This window comes from Homo sapiens, chromosome 4, assembly GCF_000001405.40.
Source record: "Homo sapiens chromosome 4, GRCh38.p14 Primary Assembly".
Taxonomy (NCBI): Eukaryota; Metazoa; Chordata; class Mammalia; order Primates; family Hominidae; genus Homo; species Homo sapiens.
The window spans coordinates 105,122,745-105,141,156 of NC_000004.12; the positions used below are offsets into that span (position 1 = coordinate 105,122,745).

General features: G+C 37.9%; 1 protein-coding gene across 1 annotated transcript in view, besides 1 other annotated feature; it reads right to left on the bottom strand.

Annotated features, from left to right (window-relative positions):
- Positions 1-14,517: 14,517 nt before the first annotated feature.
- LOC124900868 (uncharacterized) overlaps positions 14,518-18,412 on the bottom strand; it is a 33,749-nt gene continuing 29,854 nt past the window's right edge. Inside the window, exon 3 of the mRNA XM_047416559.1 lies at positions 14,518-14,974. The gene's annotated coding sequence lies outside the window, so the exon portion shown is untranslated. The remainder of the gene's footprint in view (positions 14,975-18,412) is intronic.
- Positions 18,256-18,305: an enhancer, noted in NCBI's record as "active region_21776". NCBI's record gives its function as "activates an Ori minimal core promoter by ATAC-STARR-seq in GM12878 lymphoblastoid cells {active_cell/tissue: GM12878}" and the evidence as "EXISTENCE:reporter gene assay evidence [ECO:0000049][PMID:35858748]".

The window sequence follows — 18,412 nt, forward strand, 5'->3', positions numbered from 1 at the left end:
TATAATAAATGAGTGTTTTTTAAATGGCTGAGTTCATGATAATTTGTTACATAGCAACAGAAAACTAATTTACCATCCTAATCTAAAATAAGACCCCATAATCACACTCCAGTCATTATTATACATTAGTTTGTTTTTCTTTCTTCAAAAATATATATAATAATTTATGTATTATATATAAAACATAAAATTAATATTTATTTGCTTGCTTGCTTGCTAAATATCTCTTCCCTAATATTATATTAGACAATAAGCTTAGTGAGGGAACGTAAAAGGTACCCAATCAATATTTACTTAAAAAAAGATAAATGCCTACATTTAAACAAATATTTTTCAAAAAAAGGTTAATCAAATCTCAGAGATACCATCCCCCCCAAAAAATTTTTTAAATATGTCTTCTAGGCCAGGCGCAGTGGCTCACACCTGTAATCCCAGCACTTGGGGAGGCTGAGGTGGAAGGACTGCCTGAGTCCAGGAGTTCAAGACCAACCTAGGCAACATGTTGAGACTCCATCTCATAAAATAAATTTGTTTTTTAAAGTGTCTTCTGGCCGGGCGCGGTGGCTTACGCCTGTAATCCCAGCACTTTGGGAGGCCGAGGCGGGCGGATCACGAGGTCAGGAGATCGAGACCATCCTGGCTAACAAGGTGAAACCCCGTCTCTACTAAAAATACAAAAAATTAGCCGGGCGTAGTGGCGGGCGCCTGTAGTCCCAGCTACTTGGGAGGCTGAGGCAGGAGAACGGCGTGAACCCGGGAGGCGGAGCTTGCAGTGAGCCGAGATCGCGCCACTGCACTCCAGCCTGGGCGACAGAGCGAGACTCCGTCTCAAAAAAAAAAAAAAAAAAAAAAAAAAAAAGAAAAAAATAAAGTGTCTTCTACTTGTCAGGCCTGCTATAGTTGTCCCTTAAAGACCTACATATACTTCCATAATATATGAATTTCAATTTATACTCGGAGCTTAGCAAAATGGAGCACACATAAAAGTTAAAAGTTACAATTGGAAAGGACTCAGCTGATTATGTATTCCACCCTCAATGCTGTTTAAAAATATATATATATATATGAGTCTTCATGTAATATGGAATGTCCTGACAAGTTTCCTAACAAATTATTTCACAGACCAACAACAGAAATCACCAAGAAAAATGTCCACTTACTTAGGGTAAATCTGTCTAGGTTTAGTGTTCTTTATTAACATCTCTGTTGTTCTCTCCTGGGTTACTCACCCTCCTTCTCCAACCTTTTCTGTGCTCCAGAAGCTGGCCTGTAATTAACTATATCAACAGACTCCCACATCCTCTACTTTCTAGTAGATTTAGTCTAGTCCTGTCCAGGAGAAATTGTGTGATATGGTATGATATTATGTGATATGGTATGATATTATGTGATATGGTATGATATTATGTGATATGGTATGATATTATGTGATATGGTATGATATTATGTGATATGGAATGATATATGTATAAATAGTTTTTTAATTTTAATAATTTTCTAAAAATTTAAATTTTCTAATAGTTATGATTTAAATTAAAAAGCAGGTAAAAATAATATGTGTATATCAATATATTACATATATTGATATATACATATTTAATATGTGTTAATGTTTAATAATAATGTATATCAAATATATATGTCCATACTATTGATACCATTTTTATTTAACATAAAATTATTAAGGTGATATTTTACATTCTTTTTTCATACTAAGTCTTCAACATTTGGGATGTATTTTACACCTAAAACCACATTTCGGTAGACACCTGTGACCAGGCTATCGTATCAGGCAGTGCAGTGTAGCCCAGAAGAAGCCCTGTCAATGGATCACAGAGAGGGCCAAGAATAAATGTGGGATATTTCTTCCCCTGATTCCTTTGCTGTGGCATCACCTCAGACTGGCACTGTCCTCCATCCTAACATCATAATTCCTTTCAAGGTGGGATAAACTACACATCTCTTTCCTCCTGGGTTCTGGTAACCATTTTCTCACCTTTCCCCTTGAGCCTAGGGGTGATAATAGCATTCCCCTTTGTGATTCCTATAAACATTTTCCAAACATCTGTAATATTTCTATATAAAACCCTTCTCAAATTATCATAATGTGAATATGCCCTCTATTTCCTCCTGGGACCCTTTCTGATTCGTGGCTCTTTTGTTGGGATTTTTCTAAAACCTTTGAGGGCTGTATTTCCGATATTTCAAGAATGACCAATTCTGAGTATATACTCATCAAATGATAGGGTGGTATACCTAGCAAGTATGCTAATAAGCAGAATAATTAAATAGAATTTGATAAACTAAAAAATTGCTTAATATAATTTATAAAGGTACAAAACAGGAGTATATATTCTCTATTCAATGACAATTGTTAAAAAAAATAGCTGCATGGAAAAGTTGCAAGGTTTTTAATAGAAGCTTTAAATATATATATATGTATTTTTTTTAATGGAGTTTCACTCTTGTCACCCTGGCTGGAGTGCAATGGCGCGATCTTGGCTCACTGTAACCTCCGCCTCCCGGGTTCAAGCAATTCTCCTGCGTCAGCCTCCTGAGTAGCTGAGGCTACAGGCGCCCACAACCACGCCCAGCTAATTTTTTGTATTTTTAGTAGAGATGAGGTTTCACCGTGTTGGCCAGTCTGGTCTCGAACTCCTGACCTCAGGTGATCCACCCATCTTGGCCTCCCAAAGTGCTAGGATTACAAACGAGATCTTATATTTTATGGATAAAAGTATCTACTTCCAAAAAGGATGTGGAAAAAAATAAAATAAAAACATTCATTTATCTCACATAGATATTGACTCTATTTGTCTTATATAGATATATTCTAATTTTTTTTTTTTTTTTGAGGCAGAGTTTCACTCTTGTTGCCCAGGCTAGAGTGCAATGGCACAATCTCAGCTCCGCCTCCCGGGGTCAAGCGATTCTCCTGCCTCAGCCTCCCGAGTAGCTGGGATTACAGGCGTGTGCCACCATGCCACGCTAATTTTGTATTTTTAGTAAAGATGGGGTTTCTCCATGTTGGTCAGGCTGGTCTCGAACTCCCGACCTCAGGTGATCCACCTGTCTCGGCCTCCCAAAATGCTGGGATTACAGACATGAGCCACCACGCCCGGCCTATTTTAATTTTTTAGACAAAGGGTCTCACTCTGTCATCCACAATGGTGTGCAGTGGCATGGCCTTGGCTCACTTCAAGTGATTCTCCCACCTTAACCTCCCAAGGTATTGGGACTACAGGCACATGCCACCATGCCCAGCTACTTTTTTAATTTTTCGTAAAGACAGGGTCTCAGTATGTTTCCCAGCTCGTCTCGAACTCCTGGGCTCAAGCAATCCTACAACTTCAGCCTCCCAAAGTGTTGGGATTATAGGCATGAGCCACCACTCCCAGCATAGTCTTATATTATTGATTTCTAAGGTGTATCTATATTGAGAAGGATTGTTAACTAGTTCCAAGAAGGAAATTATACATAAATATCTTTTTCAGTTGTAATCTTTGGCATTTTTAAAATAAGAAAACTTACTCTGTTTCCCTCTGTGGAAGAAGAGAAGTTGATCCAATTGTGTAGCCTAATCCCTCACGTAAGCTGTTTAGGGACAGTTTCTGAACTCACTTTTGGCCCAAGGGAAATGGCATGTCTCTTTTATCACAAACTCTAATCATAATTTTATTTTTTTATGAAACAGAAAATTCAATTGTTTACACTTCTCTAAAGAAAACCAGACATTTCAGTAAAATATTTGCCTTTGAGGTTGTTTTTCTTGGCTAAAAGAGTTGTCCATGAAACAGATGGAAAAATCTATGCTAAAATGAAAAGTAATTGGAGTATAAGTTGACCTTAACCTAATGTGATAAGAACATTTCTTTTCTAAAAAGTAATACGATTATCTTTCTTAGGGATCAGTAAATAGTAACCGCACTATTGAAAAATATATTTGAATGAGATTCTAGGAAGCACAGTAGAAACAAAAGCACTTACAAAATCAGTTTTCTAAGCTAAATTCCATTTGTCTCACTGAAGCCAGACAATCTCCTCCATGTTTTGAAATAGTTGGCAGGTGTCCCTAGGACCATGACATTATGAGTATGTGAGGGTAAACTTATGCTTAGATACTGGTTAAAATAGAATGGGGAGTGGAGAGATTACTTTCTAAGCTGGAGTCTTCACTAATATATATGTGGATTCACATGAAGAAACTTAGATTTTTAAGGACAATCACTTGTAAAACCACAAGAGGGTTACCCCAAACCTTGGTCACTTATAACTAGCCACATAAGCCTGCTTTTGAATATCAGACTCTGTCAAACAGTAAATTAGGCTTCATGCTTATGAGCCTCTGCTTCTGCTCAAAGGAAAACATTAATCTAGATTAGTAAGCAATTAGATTGTTGAATAAGCTGTCTCAAGAATATTTCTACGCTACATTTACAATCCATTTTTTCTAAAAACTGGTACAATGAATTACCTGAAATACTCTCTGAGAATTGTTTATGCAAATATCTCTTGGTCAATCATTCAGCAATGACCCAGATTTTTAGATCACTCTTCCTCAGTAAAATGTCTTGAGAATTACAGAGAAAAAAAAAAAGACATTGTTACAGAGAAGGAAATCTTGTGGCAAGAAGCATTTGGGGCTGAAAGGTAAGTAATAAGCCAAAATATACGTGGGTTAGTATCCTGACACTAAAAGATTATGATGGGAAGCCAAGATAGGCATTATAGCATCAGAACTTTCTAGGTTTTTCTCATGATAATGAAATTATGTGATTTTTACAACCGATTTCATAAATATTAGACCTAATGTTGATAATTAAATTATGTGGTTTAACACATATTTCTATAAATATGAGACCTCAATTTTCTAGGACCTCAGAAGAATAGAAAAGCTTGAATGCAATAAAATGGAGGAGACAATTTTTTATCTTTAATATGAGCTTACTTTATATCTGCAATAATGCATTCAGTAAAAGATATATGAAACTCCCAGGAATAATCATATCAATAGAGATTTATTCTAAGGAGTAAGTTATTCTCAGTTATACATTGAGATAGAATTGTTTCTAATAACTCTGGGGAAAAAATGTATTTAAAGGAGTTGTGTCATCTGCTTAAAGAAGTTTGGTGACTTTTCCAAAAACTAAGAGATAACTAGAAAGTGGTAAACTGGTGGTAACATTGTTTGGAAAACAAAATGCAACTTTCTTTTAAGGTAAAAATTATGTCTGAATTTTTTTCAGGATTATACAAAAAGTCACTAAAAACTGACTCATTTTCTCAAAATTATATTTCCTAAAAGTCTTCAATAAGAAAGATATTTTATTGTTGGATCATGTTACACAATTATCTCTCATAGCAAATGTAAGCAGAGTTAGATTTGGTCTCATTACAAACATTTGGTACAAACATAGGTACAACTGACTAGCTGACTGAGTATTCTTATTTATGACTTTTAGAGAGTTAGATGGTGTTCATTCAAGATTAATTACTCAAAATTTGTTCTTTAAAAATCTCAAATCTGATCACATCCCAACCCTGCTTACATCCATTTCATGACATCCCATTGTTGTTGGGTTAAAGACTCTTTAGGTTGGGAAGGACATAAACCCAACAAAAAGTAGATTGCCCCCAAAAAAAGGGGAAGTGGAAGACGGATTGACTAGCATAGTGAAAACTTGCATAAATAGGTCATCTTCATGTTTAGCTAGAAAAATGAGCTCAAATGATATCACCAGGATTCCATCTCACTCTGCATTTTCCAGCTCTCATTTGGTCTATTTTAGCTCTGTTGTCAGGTGGGTTCTTCATTCATGATAGATGCTAGAAACTCTAAGCTTACATTTTATGTTTGCAACATCCCAACAAAGAACTGAGTCTCATTTTCTCTGATTTAACTGATTTAGCTATGATCCTGTGATTCAGATATCCACAATAAATCAATCACTAACATCACAGGGATACAATGTTCTGACTATCCAGGGCTGTGTCAATGTTGGCCTTGAGGCTAGACGTGAAGTCAAATTCACCTAGTCACATGTAATAAACGTAGGGAGAGGAATAGTTTCTCTGGGAAAATCAGACATGAACCTAGGAGAAATGGATTCTGAATAGGCCAAAATCACATATTTATTCCAGTTTACCTCTTGGCTGCACAAGCTCATGTATCTATATCTTTACCTAAAAATTCAAAAAAACCCAAGCCTACATTAAACAGTAATATCATATGTAATCAAAAAAAATGTATCAGCATCACTTCAGTTTTATTCAGTTGCTGCATCCAGCCTGAGTCCAGATTCTACTGTTATTGTGCCTTTCTCATGGTCCAAAAACCTATCTTTAAATGATACATTTGACCATCTCCAAGAAATCTAATATGCATTTATTTGGAGGAAACAAAATAACTATCATAAAAACTCCTACTTGAAAAAGGGGATTTGGGTGGGAGGTGGCAGAAAATGATCACCGTTCTTTAGCATATATACTATCCTGCTAGACAGGAGCAGCAACAACCCCTTGTCCTGGTCTTGAGGCAAATTCCTTGGTCAGTCCTTCAGTCTGCTCTTGGCTCTGTCTTTTGGGATGCCGTTGTTGCTTGTCCTTTATGGTCACAGCTGCCAAAGGCACTGGGGATACCCACTTTCTGGTTATCATACCCTACTGATAGTGCTGTTTCTGTTGGTATAGATTTAGGATCCTGACTGAGTATTGCCTCAGGGGTTGAGCAATCATAGCACTCAGTTTACGGGTATTTGCATTTCTCTGGAAACCTCTGTTCCTTAAAAGTTTACTAAACTCTACAATCTGTTTCAAGTAAATTCAGTTTGTTTACAACAAAACTGAGTTAGTATTGCATTCTAATCCTTGATTCCAAATTCCAAATTTGTTGTTTCTGTCTTCTAAGTCTCAGTGCTCTGTCTCCCCAGGTAGGCAGAATTCCTAGTTTCACTCATAGCTTCCAATTTTATTCTACTCTCCCTGCCTTTGCTAACACTAAATTTAGATGAGAGTGAAGCAGAAATGCTTCTGACTTTTGGCTGGCTTGTCTATCAGGACAAGGGCGAAAGGGCTGCTCTTAGTGTTTTTACTGCTTCCAGAGAAGCCAGCTTTTAATGCAGCTGTTTCTTGCATGTAGGACGTCATTAAACCCTACAAAAAGGAACAAACACATTTCTGGGGCTTTTTTTCATATACATCCTTTAATCTTCGGCCTCAGTGGACACATGGTCTGAGCCCCAAGATATAAAAGACAGGTTAATCAACATCTGTGTCAATTTCTCAGCTAAAGAAAGAAGGATCCTCATTGCCTCTTTACTACCTGAATTGAGCCAATTCCACATTTAAGGGTCTGTTACTTACAACGCTTCAAATCTTGACCCATTTAAAAAATATACAAATCAGGACTCTTTCAGATCTAAGTGTCTAAAAAAACCTCAAACAGGCTTGTTTGGTGAGAGAAATTTGCTGGTTCATAAAACTAAAAAGTTATGGAGTAGATCTGCTCAATGATGTCAACTTGACTTACCTCTTATCTCTCTGCTCCTCTATCCTCTGTGTTGTCTACGCCACAGAAAAGGCATTTCCTTTGAGAAAATGAGTTTTTTCCTTCTGGCTGCTAGTAGTATTAGGTTTACATCCCATCACATCAGCATCCCCGGCACAAACGGAATACTTTTCCCCAACAACACAAGCAGAAGGCCCAGAACTAACTTTATTGGTTCTTATTGGCCTAGCTTGGGTTGTATGTTTTCCTTTCTTAGTAATTTCTATGGTGAGAGGAGGATTATTCTCCAACTGGCCAAGGCTGGATTAACACATGTCCAGATTTAGGCCGCGCACAGTGGCTCATGCCTGTAATCCCAGCACTTTGGGAGACTGATGGTGAGAATCACTTGAAGTCAGGAGTTTGAGACCAGCCTGGAGTTTCATCAACATGGTAAAACCCTATCTCTACTAAAAATACAAAAATTAGCCAGGTGTGGTGGCGCATTCCTGTAATCCCAGCTACTCAGGAGGCTGAGGCACGAGAACCTGGGAGGTGGAGATTGCAGTGAGACAAGATTACACCACTGCACTCCAGCCTGGGCTACAGAAAAATACCCTCTTCCCCCCCAAAAAAATGCCCAGCTTTGTAGCTAAAGATAGAGAACCTGAGCCTTGTGGTTTGAAGGTTGGCTTTCCAAGGATAAATCATAGTGTTATTACTTGACAAAAGAGGGGATAGATCTTGGGTAGGTAAAACAATAATAATTTTTTTAAAGACTCAATGTGTCATATAAGGCCCTGGATGATCTGACCCCTGCCTGCCTTATCTGCCTTATCTGATTGTAGTCTCCTGCTTACCCTTTGGGCTCCACCCCACTGGCCTTATGTCATTTCCCATTCTGCTTGTGGACATTCACATGGGCAATTTCCTCTGCAAAAAGCAAAGCTCCTTTCTTCAGTTTTCATTGGATTGGTTCATTCCTACAAATTTTTCAAAGGTCAGCCCAACTATCACTTCCTCAAGGAAACGTTAGGTTGACTCATAAACTGGCTTGTATCCCTCCTGTTATCATCCCCCAAAGTCTCTAAACCTTTCATTTATATCTCTTACCATAATTGTAATTTAAGTACCTAATTGGGTAATTTTAGCTCCATGAGGACAAAATTTCTCTGTAAATTTAAAAATATGGTATTACTGAATGGATAAATGAAGGCATGAGAAAATGGGAAAGGTAAAGGAGTACATAGGTGCTGAAAGTTATTACTTTGTTTTTCCCATCGATCTATTTCTGGATCTAGTTTTTCATCAGCTCTCTCTTTCTTTTGTATATCAATACCAATATCTCCCACTGTGGGTTGTTCACTATTGTGTAACAGAGAAAATTAGTTGTAAAACATAACACTGCTATGAGGGTAATTTGAAGCAAAACATTGTCTATTTCAGAAAATGAGCACTTTACACTGGTGCTCATCATCTGAAATGGATAAACCTAGGTGAAGTGCTAGTTCAGTGATTTACCAGCTCTTTTGAGACAGAGTCTGGCTCTGTCACCCAGGCTACAGTGCAGTGGTGCAATCTTGGCTCACAGCTCACTGCAACTTCCACCTCCTGAGTTCAAGTGATTCTCCTGTCTCAGTCTCCCAAGTACCTCAGATTACAGGTGTGTGCCACCACACCCAGCTAATTTTTTTGTATTTTCAGTAGAGATGGGATTTGCTATGTTGGCCTGGCTGGTCTTGAACTCCTTGCCTCAAGTGATCCACCTGCCTTGGCCTCCCAAAGTGCTGGGATTACAGGCATGAACCACTGTGCCTGGCCATTTACTAGCTCTTTGATTGCAGAAATTTATTTATTTTCTCTGAGCTATTACTTATCTGTAAGCTGAGGATAATAATATCCACCTTGCATAATTCTTACAAGAGTATGAAGGCAATACAGTCATACCTCAGAGATCTTGTGGGTTCAGTACCAGACCATAGCAATAGAGCAAATATCACAATAAAGTGAGTCACATAATTTTTTTTGTTTCCCAGAGGATATAAAAGTTAAGTTTACACTATACCATAGTGTACGAAGTGTGCAATAGAATTATATCTTTTAATTTTTGAATATTGCTAAAAAATGCTAACAATCATCTGAACCTTCTGAAAGCCATGATCTTTTTGCTGGCAGAGGGTCTTGCCTCAATGTTGATGGCTGTTGACTGATCAGGGTGGGGGTTGCTGAAGGGTGGGGTGGCTATGTGTGGCAATTTCTTAAAATAAGAAAACAATGAAGTTTGCCACATTGATTGACTCTTCCTTTCACAAAGGTTTCTGTGTAGCATGTGATGCTGTTTGATAGCATGTTACCCACAGAACTTCTTTCAAAATTAGAGTTAATCCTCTCAAACCCTGCTGCTACTTCATACACTCAGTTTACATAATATTCTAAATCCTTTGTTGTCATTTCAACAGTGTTTATAGTGTCTTCACCAGGAGCAGATTCCATGTCAAGAAACCATTTTCTTTGCTCATCTACAAGTAACAACTCTTTAGCCATTCAAGTTTTACTGTGAGATTGCAGCAATGCAGTCACATCTTCAGACTCTCCACTAATTCTAGTTCTCTTGCTGCTTCCACCATGTCTGCAGTTACTTTATACTGAAATCTTCAACTCCTAAAAGTCATCCTTGAGAGTTGGCATCAACTGCTTCCAAACTCCTGTTAATGTTGCTATTTTGACCTCCTTTTGTGAATCACAAATATTCTTAATGGCATCTAGAATGGTGAGCTCTTTCCAGAATATTTTCAATTTACATTGTCTGGATTCAACAGAGGAATCGCTATCTGTGGTAGCTATACGCTAACAAAATGTGTTCCTTAAATAATAAGACTTGAAAGTCAAAGTTACTCCTTGATCTAGGGGTTGCAGAAAGAATGTTGTGTTAACAGGCATAAAAACAACATTATTCTCCTTGCACAAGTCTCCCAGAGCTCTTGGGTCACCAAGTGCATTGTCAATGAGCAGTAATATTTTGAAATAAATCTCCTTTTTTTGGATAGTAGGTTTCAACAGTGGGCTAAAAATATTCAGTAAACCATGTAGTAAACAGATAGGTTGCCATCCATGCTTTATTGTTCCATTTATAGAGCACAGGTAGAGTAAATTTGGCATGATTCTAAAGGGCCCTAGAATTTTCAGAATGGTAAATTGGCATTGGCTTCAACCTAAAGTCACCAGCTGCATGAGCCCCTAAGAAAAGAGTTGACCTGTCCTTTGAAGCTTTGAAGCCATGCATTGACTTCTTGTCCCTAGCTATGAAAGTCCTGGATGATGTCTTCTTCCAATACAAGGCTGTTTTGTCTCCATTGAAAAATCTATTGTTTAGTGGAGCCACCTCCATCATTTATTTTAGCTAGATCTTCTGGACAACTGCTACAGTTTCTCCATCAGCACTTGCGCTTCATTTTGTTCTTTTTCTTTTTTTTTTTTTTTTTGAGATGGAGTCTTGCTCTGTCACCCAGGCTGGAGTGCAATGGCACGATCTCGGCTCACTGCAACCTCTGCCTCCCGGGTTCAAGCTATTCTCCTGCCTCAGCGTCCTGAGTAGCTGGGACTACAGGCACATGCCACCATGCCCTGCTAATTTTTGTATTTTTAATAGAGATGGGGTTTCACCATGTTGGCCAGGATGGTTTCGATCTCTTTACCTCGTGATCCGCCGGCCTCGGCCTCCCAAAATGCTGGGATTACAGGCATGAGCCACCACGCCCGGCCATCATTTTGTTCTTTTATGTTAAGGAGATAGTGTTTTTCCTCAAACTTCATGAACCAACTTCTGCTAGCTTTCAACTTTTCTTCTGCAACTTCCTTACCACTCTCACAGACTTCACAGAGTTGAGGATTGTTACAGCCTTGCTCCAGAGTAAGTTTTGGCTTAAGGGAATGTTGTGGCTGGTTTGATCTTCTATCCAGACCAATAAAACTTCCTGCATGTCAACAATAAGGCCTTTTTGCTTTCTTATCATTTGTGTGTTCACTGAAGTAGCATTTTTAATTTCCTTCAATAATGTTTTCTTTTTTGCATTCACAACTTGGCTAACTGATGTGAAAGGCCCAGCTTTCAGCCTGTCTTGGCTTTTGACATGCCTTCCTCACTAAACTGAATCACTTCTAGCTTTTAATTTAGAGTGAGCTGTGCAACTCTTCCCCTTGAACATTTAGTGGCCATTGTAGGGTTATTACTTGACCTATATTTCAACATTGGTATGGTCTAGGGAATATGGAGGACCCAGGTGAAAAAGAGATAGGGAACAGCCAGTCAGCAGAGCAGGCAGAACACTTATTGCAATTAAGTTTGCCATCTTACGTGGGTACAGTGTTGCACCCAAAATAATTACAATAGTAACATCAAAGATCACTGATCACAGATCATTACAACAGATACAATCATAATGAAACTTAGAATATTATAAGAATGATCAAAATGTGAAACAGAGAAACAAAGTGAGCCCATGCTTTTGGAAAATGTACCAATAGGCTTGTTCAACTCAGGTTGCCACAAACCTTCGATTTGTAAAAATGCAGTATCTGTGATGTGCAATAAAATGAAGCACAATAAAACAAGATATGCCTACATATTCTCTGGGCCCAGCACAAGCAATATTCTTATGATTATTCTTGGATCACAGAACTGTCACTGCAGTAGCAAGCATAGATTTAAAACCATAACCATCATTGTACATCACCCAGATGAAGATCCTTTTGCCAGTGTAAGAAACATGGCGGCCAGGCGCCGTGGCTCATGCCTGTAATCCCAGCACTTTGGGAGGCTGAAGGGGGCTGGATCATCTGAGGTCAGGAGTTCAAGACCAGCCTGGCCAACATGGTGAAATCCCATCTCTACTAAAAATACAAAAATTAGTCAGGGATAGTGACAGGCGCCTGTAATCCCAGCTACTCGGGAGGCTGAGGCAGGAGAATTGCTTGAACCCAGGAGGTGGAGGTTGCAGTGAGCCAAGATCGTGCCATTGCACTCTAGCCTGGGGACAAGAGTGAGACTTCGTCTCAAAAAAAAAAAAAAGAAAGAAAAAACATGGCATGGGAGGGGGAGGGCACAATGAAATCAACTATTTTAGCCTACGTCAGTAACTATGGAGACTATACACCAATTCTGGAGAGGCATGTGGTGAAAATTCCCTCAGGTCTTGGGATTTAATCTATAAACTTACCTGAACCATAAAAAGAAAACTTTATACTGAGTCAATTGGCTCTGGAAAACCAAAGAATTTCTGTGACTTGCTTTATTATGATACTCTTTTTATTTTAGTGGTCTGGAACCAAACCCATGGTATCTCTCATACTTTCTTATCAGACAGAAGAAGTGTATTGAAACCATTCTCTTTTATTGCTTAAGGCAGAAGGGGGTGAGGTTTGATGGGTTTAGTCCTTTGTAAGACCTCTCCTCTACCTCAGCTTGTCAGTAGAGTGATTTTTTAAAAGACCCAATTTTTCAGGGACCTTATTCAATATATTATATTTTCTTCCCTTTAACTATGCACCTCAGTTTGCTCTCTCCCATTAGCATTTAGACATGCTCAATTCTTTCCCATCTTAAAAAATTCCTTTCTCAATCTCACATCCCCCTGTAGCTACTCTGCTATCTTCTTCCTCCTCTCTGTAGCGAACATTCTTTAAATAGTCATCCGCACTCACTATCTCTACATCCTCACTTCCTGTTTAGCATTCAACCTCAGGCAATCTGGCTTCTGTCACCACTGCTCTTCTACTAAAACTCATTTTGCCAAGGATTGCAATGAATGCACCACCATCCAAGGGATACTTCTTATTACTTGTCTCAGGTGATAGTTCAGTATGTGGCCCTGCTAATGCTCTGTCATGAAGCATTTCCTTAATTTGGCTCCCATAAAACCACACACATCTGGATTTCTCCTTTAGGGGCTCCTCCTCTTTCTCTCGAACCTCGAGAGTGGTGTTCCTCCGTTTCTCTTCTGGAGTTCCACTTTTCTTCTCCCTCAGTGTATGAGATTATTTTCCTCAACTGCCATCTTTATGCTGATGATTCACAAATTTCTAACTCCAGTCTGGATCTTTTTTCTGAATTTCGGGCTCAGATACCCAGCTACTCACTGTGTATCTCATAATGGATGTCCTTCCAGTGCCTGAAACTTAACTTGTTCATCGTGATTTCTTCTTCCCACAACCCCCAAACTCCTACTCCCAGGTCCTTCTATCTTCTTTTTATCTCCAGTGAAAGCCACTACCAACCATTTTGTCGGCCAGGTCAGAAACCTGGCTGACATCCTCAATCCTGCCTCTGCCTCACCCTGCTCCAAGGTAGTTACTGTGCTCCATTCCTGCTACTTCTGTTAATACCTCTGGATCTACCCATTTCTATCTTCTCTATTATTGCCTAATTTCTCATCTAGACCACTCTAATTTTTCTACTCTCTCCTCATAGGTGTCCTAGCCTCTGTTATTGTGTTCTCTCAATCCATTTTCCCCACAGCAACTACAAAAATATTTTCAAAGCCCAAATCTAATCATTTTCTTCTCTTTTCAAATCGATTATTGATTTCTCAGTCCACTTAAGCCACATTCCAAAACCCTTACCATGATTTAAAGTAACCCTCATAATCTGATCCCTGCAAACTGCTGCATCCCAATAGTATGAACTCTTCCTCTTTACTTTCTGTAAGGCTTTTGGAATTAATTTTATTTCATCAAACATGTCATGCTCTCTTATGTCTCTAATATAGATACAGTCGTTTATCTAAAGCAAGCACTTTTCTCTGACTTACCACTTGGCCTGAATAATTCCTATTCATCCTTTAGATCTCAGTTCAAATGTTACTTCCATGGAAAGATCTCCCTGAACCTACAAGGATGAATATTAAGCACCCTTCCTATTGCATCCTGGCATACTTTTATTCACATAACTCAAAATATAGAACAAGGCTGGGAAAATAGAGCATGAGAAATGCCACTACTAATGTGAAACAAGAATGAAGAACAAATATGTGTCATTCTTTTTTTTTTTTTTTAGAAAAAGACATTTATTCAGCGTCACGATCTGACTATTACATTTAGCAATCAAAGCATGGGTGCAAAAAAAAATCTACATTAAAACCCTTTGTTGGAATGCTTTACACTTTCCACAGAACAGGAACTAAAATACCCTGTTACACAATTAGTCACAAATACAGTCCTCGAGTTTTTTGCCCATACACATGAGTATTTGTCTAAAACATGTCTTCTTTGTAGCAGCTAGGCCCTGCCACCACTGTGCTTGGCTGAGTTCACAAATCTGTTGTAACCTGTAGCTTCCCTGTCATTCTTATAACACAGTTGTGAGAGACGTTCTATGACATTATTTCCATCTACTTCTGATCCTTCTGTATTTTGGGGATTTCCTGGGCAGATCTCCATGATGACACAGTTTACTCTGTTTGATTTTGGTCACGGACTGATTAAACTGTCTCTCTAGAATGTAGAAATCAAAACACAAATGACACATTAGTCTCTTAATGTATCACCATAAACTATGATAAATTAGAAATTCACATTTGAGCAACCATTTATGTAATGGAAATGAGAATAACAAGCCTTCATTTCTACAGTTTTTTTTAACAAAAAAAATTCTGTAAATGTGTCCTGACTAGGTTAGATTTTATTCATCTCAAATTCTTTGGTAAGCTCCTCCCTCCTCTCAATTCATGGCACATACCTTTCAGGAGCAAAGCAATTCAAAAGTCCCAACTAAAAGTGGGAACTATAACTATTTCCTTGGTCACCCCACAGCTATGATTTTGAATTTTATAAATTACTACAAAAATTCACATCTTTCCCATTGGCTCCCATCAATAAGTCTCTCAAAAGTAAAAATGTATGCTACCAAGTAAAGTAATTATTGTTTCAAAAAGCTAATGATTCTATAATAAATACATTCTACATTTGCCCTTTTTCTAAAGATATTGGATATGCAATAAGCATTATTGCTCGGTAAGCAGCCTTGTTGGAGAACATTATTATTTACCAGAATTATATGAAATTTTTCTTTTCATGAAATAGTTTAGAGCAAAATGTTTCACTCATTCCAGATTGTATGCATCAAGTTTCATTCTGAGTTTTTGTTTCATTAGAAAATATGTGAATTTGAAACTCTAAACTAAATCCACCAAGCCCCATCCCTCCAGCCTTAATCAATAAAAAGGGGAATTGTTTCAATAAATTTCAAAATTTAAAAAAAAAACTTTTCATAAAACTTTCAGTTTATAAACTTCTGGTCTAATGATTTTTTCTCATTACTTACACACACACACACACACACACACACACACACACACACACACACACAAACTTCTCTCCCTCTAGCTCTTTCTCTCTCCTCTCTCTCCCCTTCATCCAAACATCTTTCTCAGTTGCTTTGAAGGGGAGACAGCAAGTAAGAGCTCCAAACATTTTGTCTTTCATGCCTTTGAATAACTTATTCTTTCCCTTAGAAATGCTTTTAGGGAACAGATTAACTTTCATCTCACATTTGGAATAAACAGAATTACTATCACAGTGGATGGCCTACTTAAAAAAAATACACAAAGCACTCTCTTCCTAAATGTTTCCTTTACTGTAGCATTCTCCTCTATCTGTGTGAGCACAGGCAAGGAATGAAAATGTATCAACCTATGATACAATGTCACAAGTTGGTAAGAGCTTCTTTTCTGCCTTCAGGAAAGAATTAAAGTTGGCTATTTCCCTTTAGTTTGTGGAAAGAATACTGAAGAAAACTTGAATTTGAGAATTTATCACCTGCTGTGTCACCATGGGCAAGTTCTTAATCTCTCTGACACGTTCCTTCATGTATTAAACACATGTTCCCTGGTGTTAAAAAAGTAAAATTCAATAAAATGGAAATTATAATGGTCTTACCTGTTTTCAAGATTACTGTAAATACTAAATGACATAATGCATTTTAAAGGTTTTTTGTAGGTTTTCAGTAGTGGAGGCTAGACTACAATCTTGGATCCTATCATATACTTATTGCCTAAGTTTAACACTTCCAATAAGTGTGTTTTTGGAGTTTCTCTTTCTAAATTTTTTGAATATCTATTTTTGACCTCACACTACCTTTACCTTTAACAGCAATTCTCACTTATCAAAATTATGACTTTACTGTTTCACCAAATTTAAATTTAGAGACTCTCTCATTCTTGTTCACTAGTAGACAGTGCCTATTGACATTGTGTTACTAAAGGGGTTTCAGAAAATTTTCTTCATTAAAATTTATCATCATCACCCTAGGATCAGCATGCACCTGACCACTAATCCATGCTAAAGAAACCCTTCTTCAATAGTTCTCACTGTCTTGCATCTTCCTATCCAGTCAAACTAGGGCCAGTGTTCATAAGATTTCAGAGAACCTCAATGAAATGCTCCTTTGGGATTTGTTTTTGCTATTCTGATGTGTGTGTGTGTGTGTCTGTGTGTGTGTGTTTTCACCTTCTACCCTAGCCTGTCAGAAACCCCTGTTTTGTGGTCCCTGCTTGGATATAATTTATTCTCTTGAGTATACAAGTCATTGTGAAATGCAGAACAATTGCCTGGCAACCAACCCATGTTCACTTTAGTGGTATGCCTAATTACTAACAGATCAAGGTTTTCTGCCAAATCATAATAATATTGTACTCTGAGATATAACATAAGAAAACAAATTAAACAGAGGTTGGTAGTGCAGAGCTTCGCAGGAAACTACTTAGCCTCTCATGCTTGCACAGGCTTTGAGTTGGATCTGAGTCAGAGCTCAATTTTCCCACACATCTCCAGAAAATATGAAAACACACTTTAGAAGATTTGAAGAAAATTGGATATCAACTAATAGCTACCTTACTTCCTTTTTAATTTGCCTTCTCCATATAGGGTGTCTGTCGGAAAGGGAATAATTTAACTTACTGGGGCCTAAACATTGTTTAATCTCTATAGGTCTTCCTTCCAGGAAGAATTGCACTAACTGTTAGCATGATGCCAGATAATAACACTCATAAACTATTGCATGACTATTATTTTGGAAAAAGAAAAAAAATCATATTCAACTGGTCTAATTGCCAAGATTATAGGAATGGCTTAAAAACTTTAAAATTTTTGACACAACTCTATCAGTAGAATTTTCCCATGAGAATAACAACAACAACAAAACAGAATATTCTTCACACATGGAACTCAGGCAATGTTCAGTACTTCTTTCTCCCCACTGCTTCAGGGCATTGTTCCTGTCACTTACATTTCCCCCTAATCATTCTTATTCACTACTGATGATCTGAGTCATTCTTCAGCTGCTAATTATGTCTTCCTCAATTTTTTGACCTATCACAAGAGAATTCAGAAATATTTAATCAATATGAAATATCAAAAGAGTTAAAGGCAGCTTTGCAGGATCTTTGCAAAGGAAAGAGTTCCACTATACTATAGAGAGATATATAAAGTCTGTTCTTTGTCATAGGATGTTCTATGAATGATAATATTGTGTGCCTGTTAACTATTCATAATAGGTGTAAACACTAAATGTTTTTATTGCGTTCTCACACATTAAGCCATCCCAGTGATTTTCAAGCACAGTTTGTACATCTCATTGTGAATCATTCAAAAAGTATTGTTACTCCTGCCCCATCCCAGACCTCCTTAATCAGAATCTCCAAAAGGCCTGCGGGGGTAGAGGAGGGTAACCTAGTCATGCATATTTTTCAAAAGCTCCCTAAATTAGATTTTGTTTTCCCAATTGAAAGGTTTGGTGCTATCCCATTCTGAGCATTTTATTAATATCACCAAAGACCCATGTCCGATTAATGATTTCAGTAGATGGCGCTCTTTCCACCTGCCAGCTTCCTTGCTTGGCGGAATGAACCCTAAGCCATTCATAAAAGTCAAGGG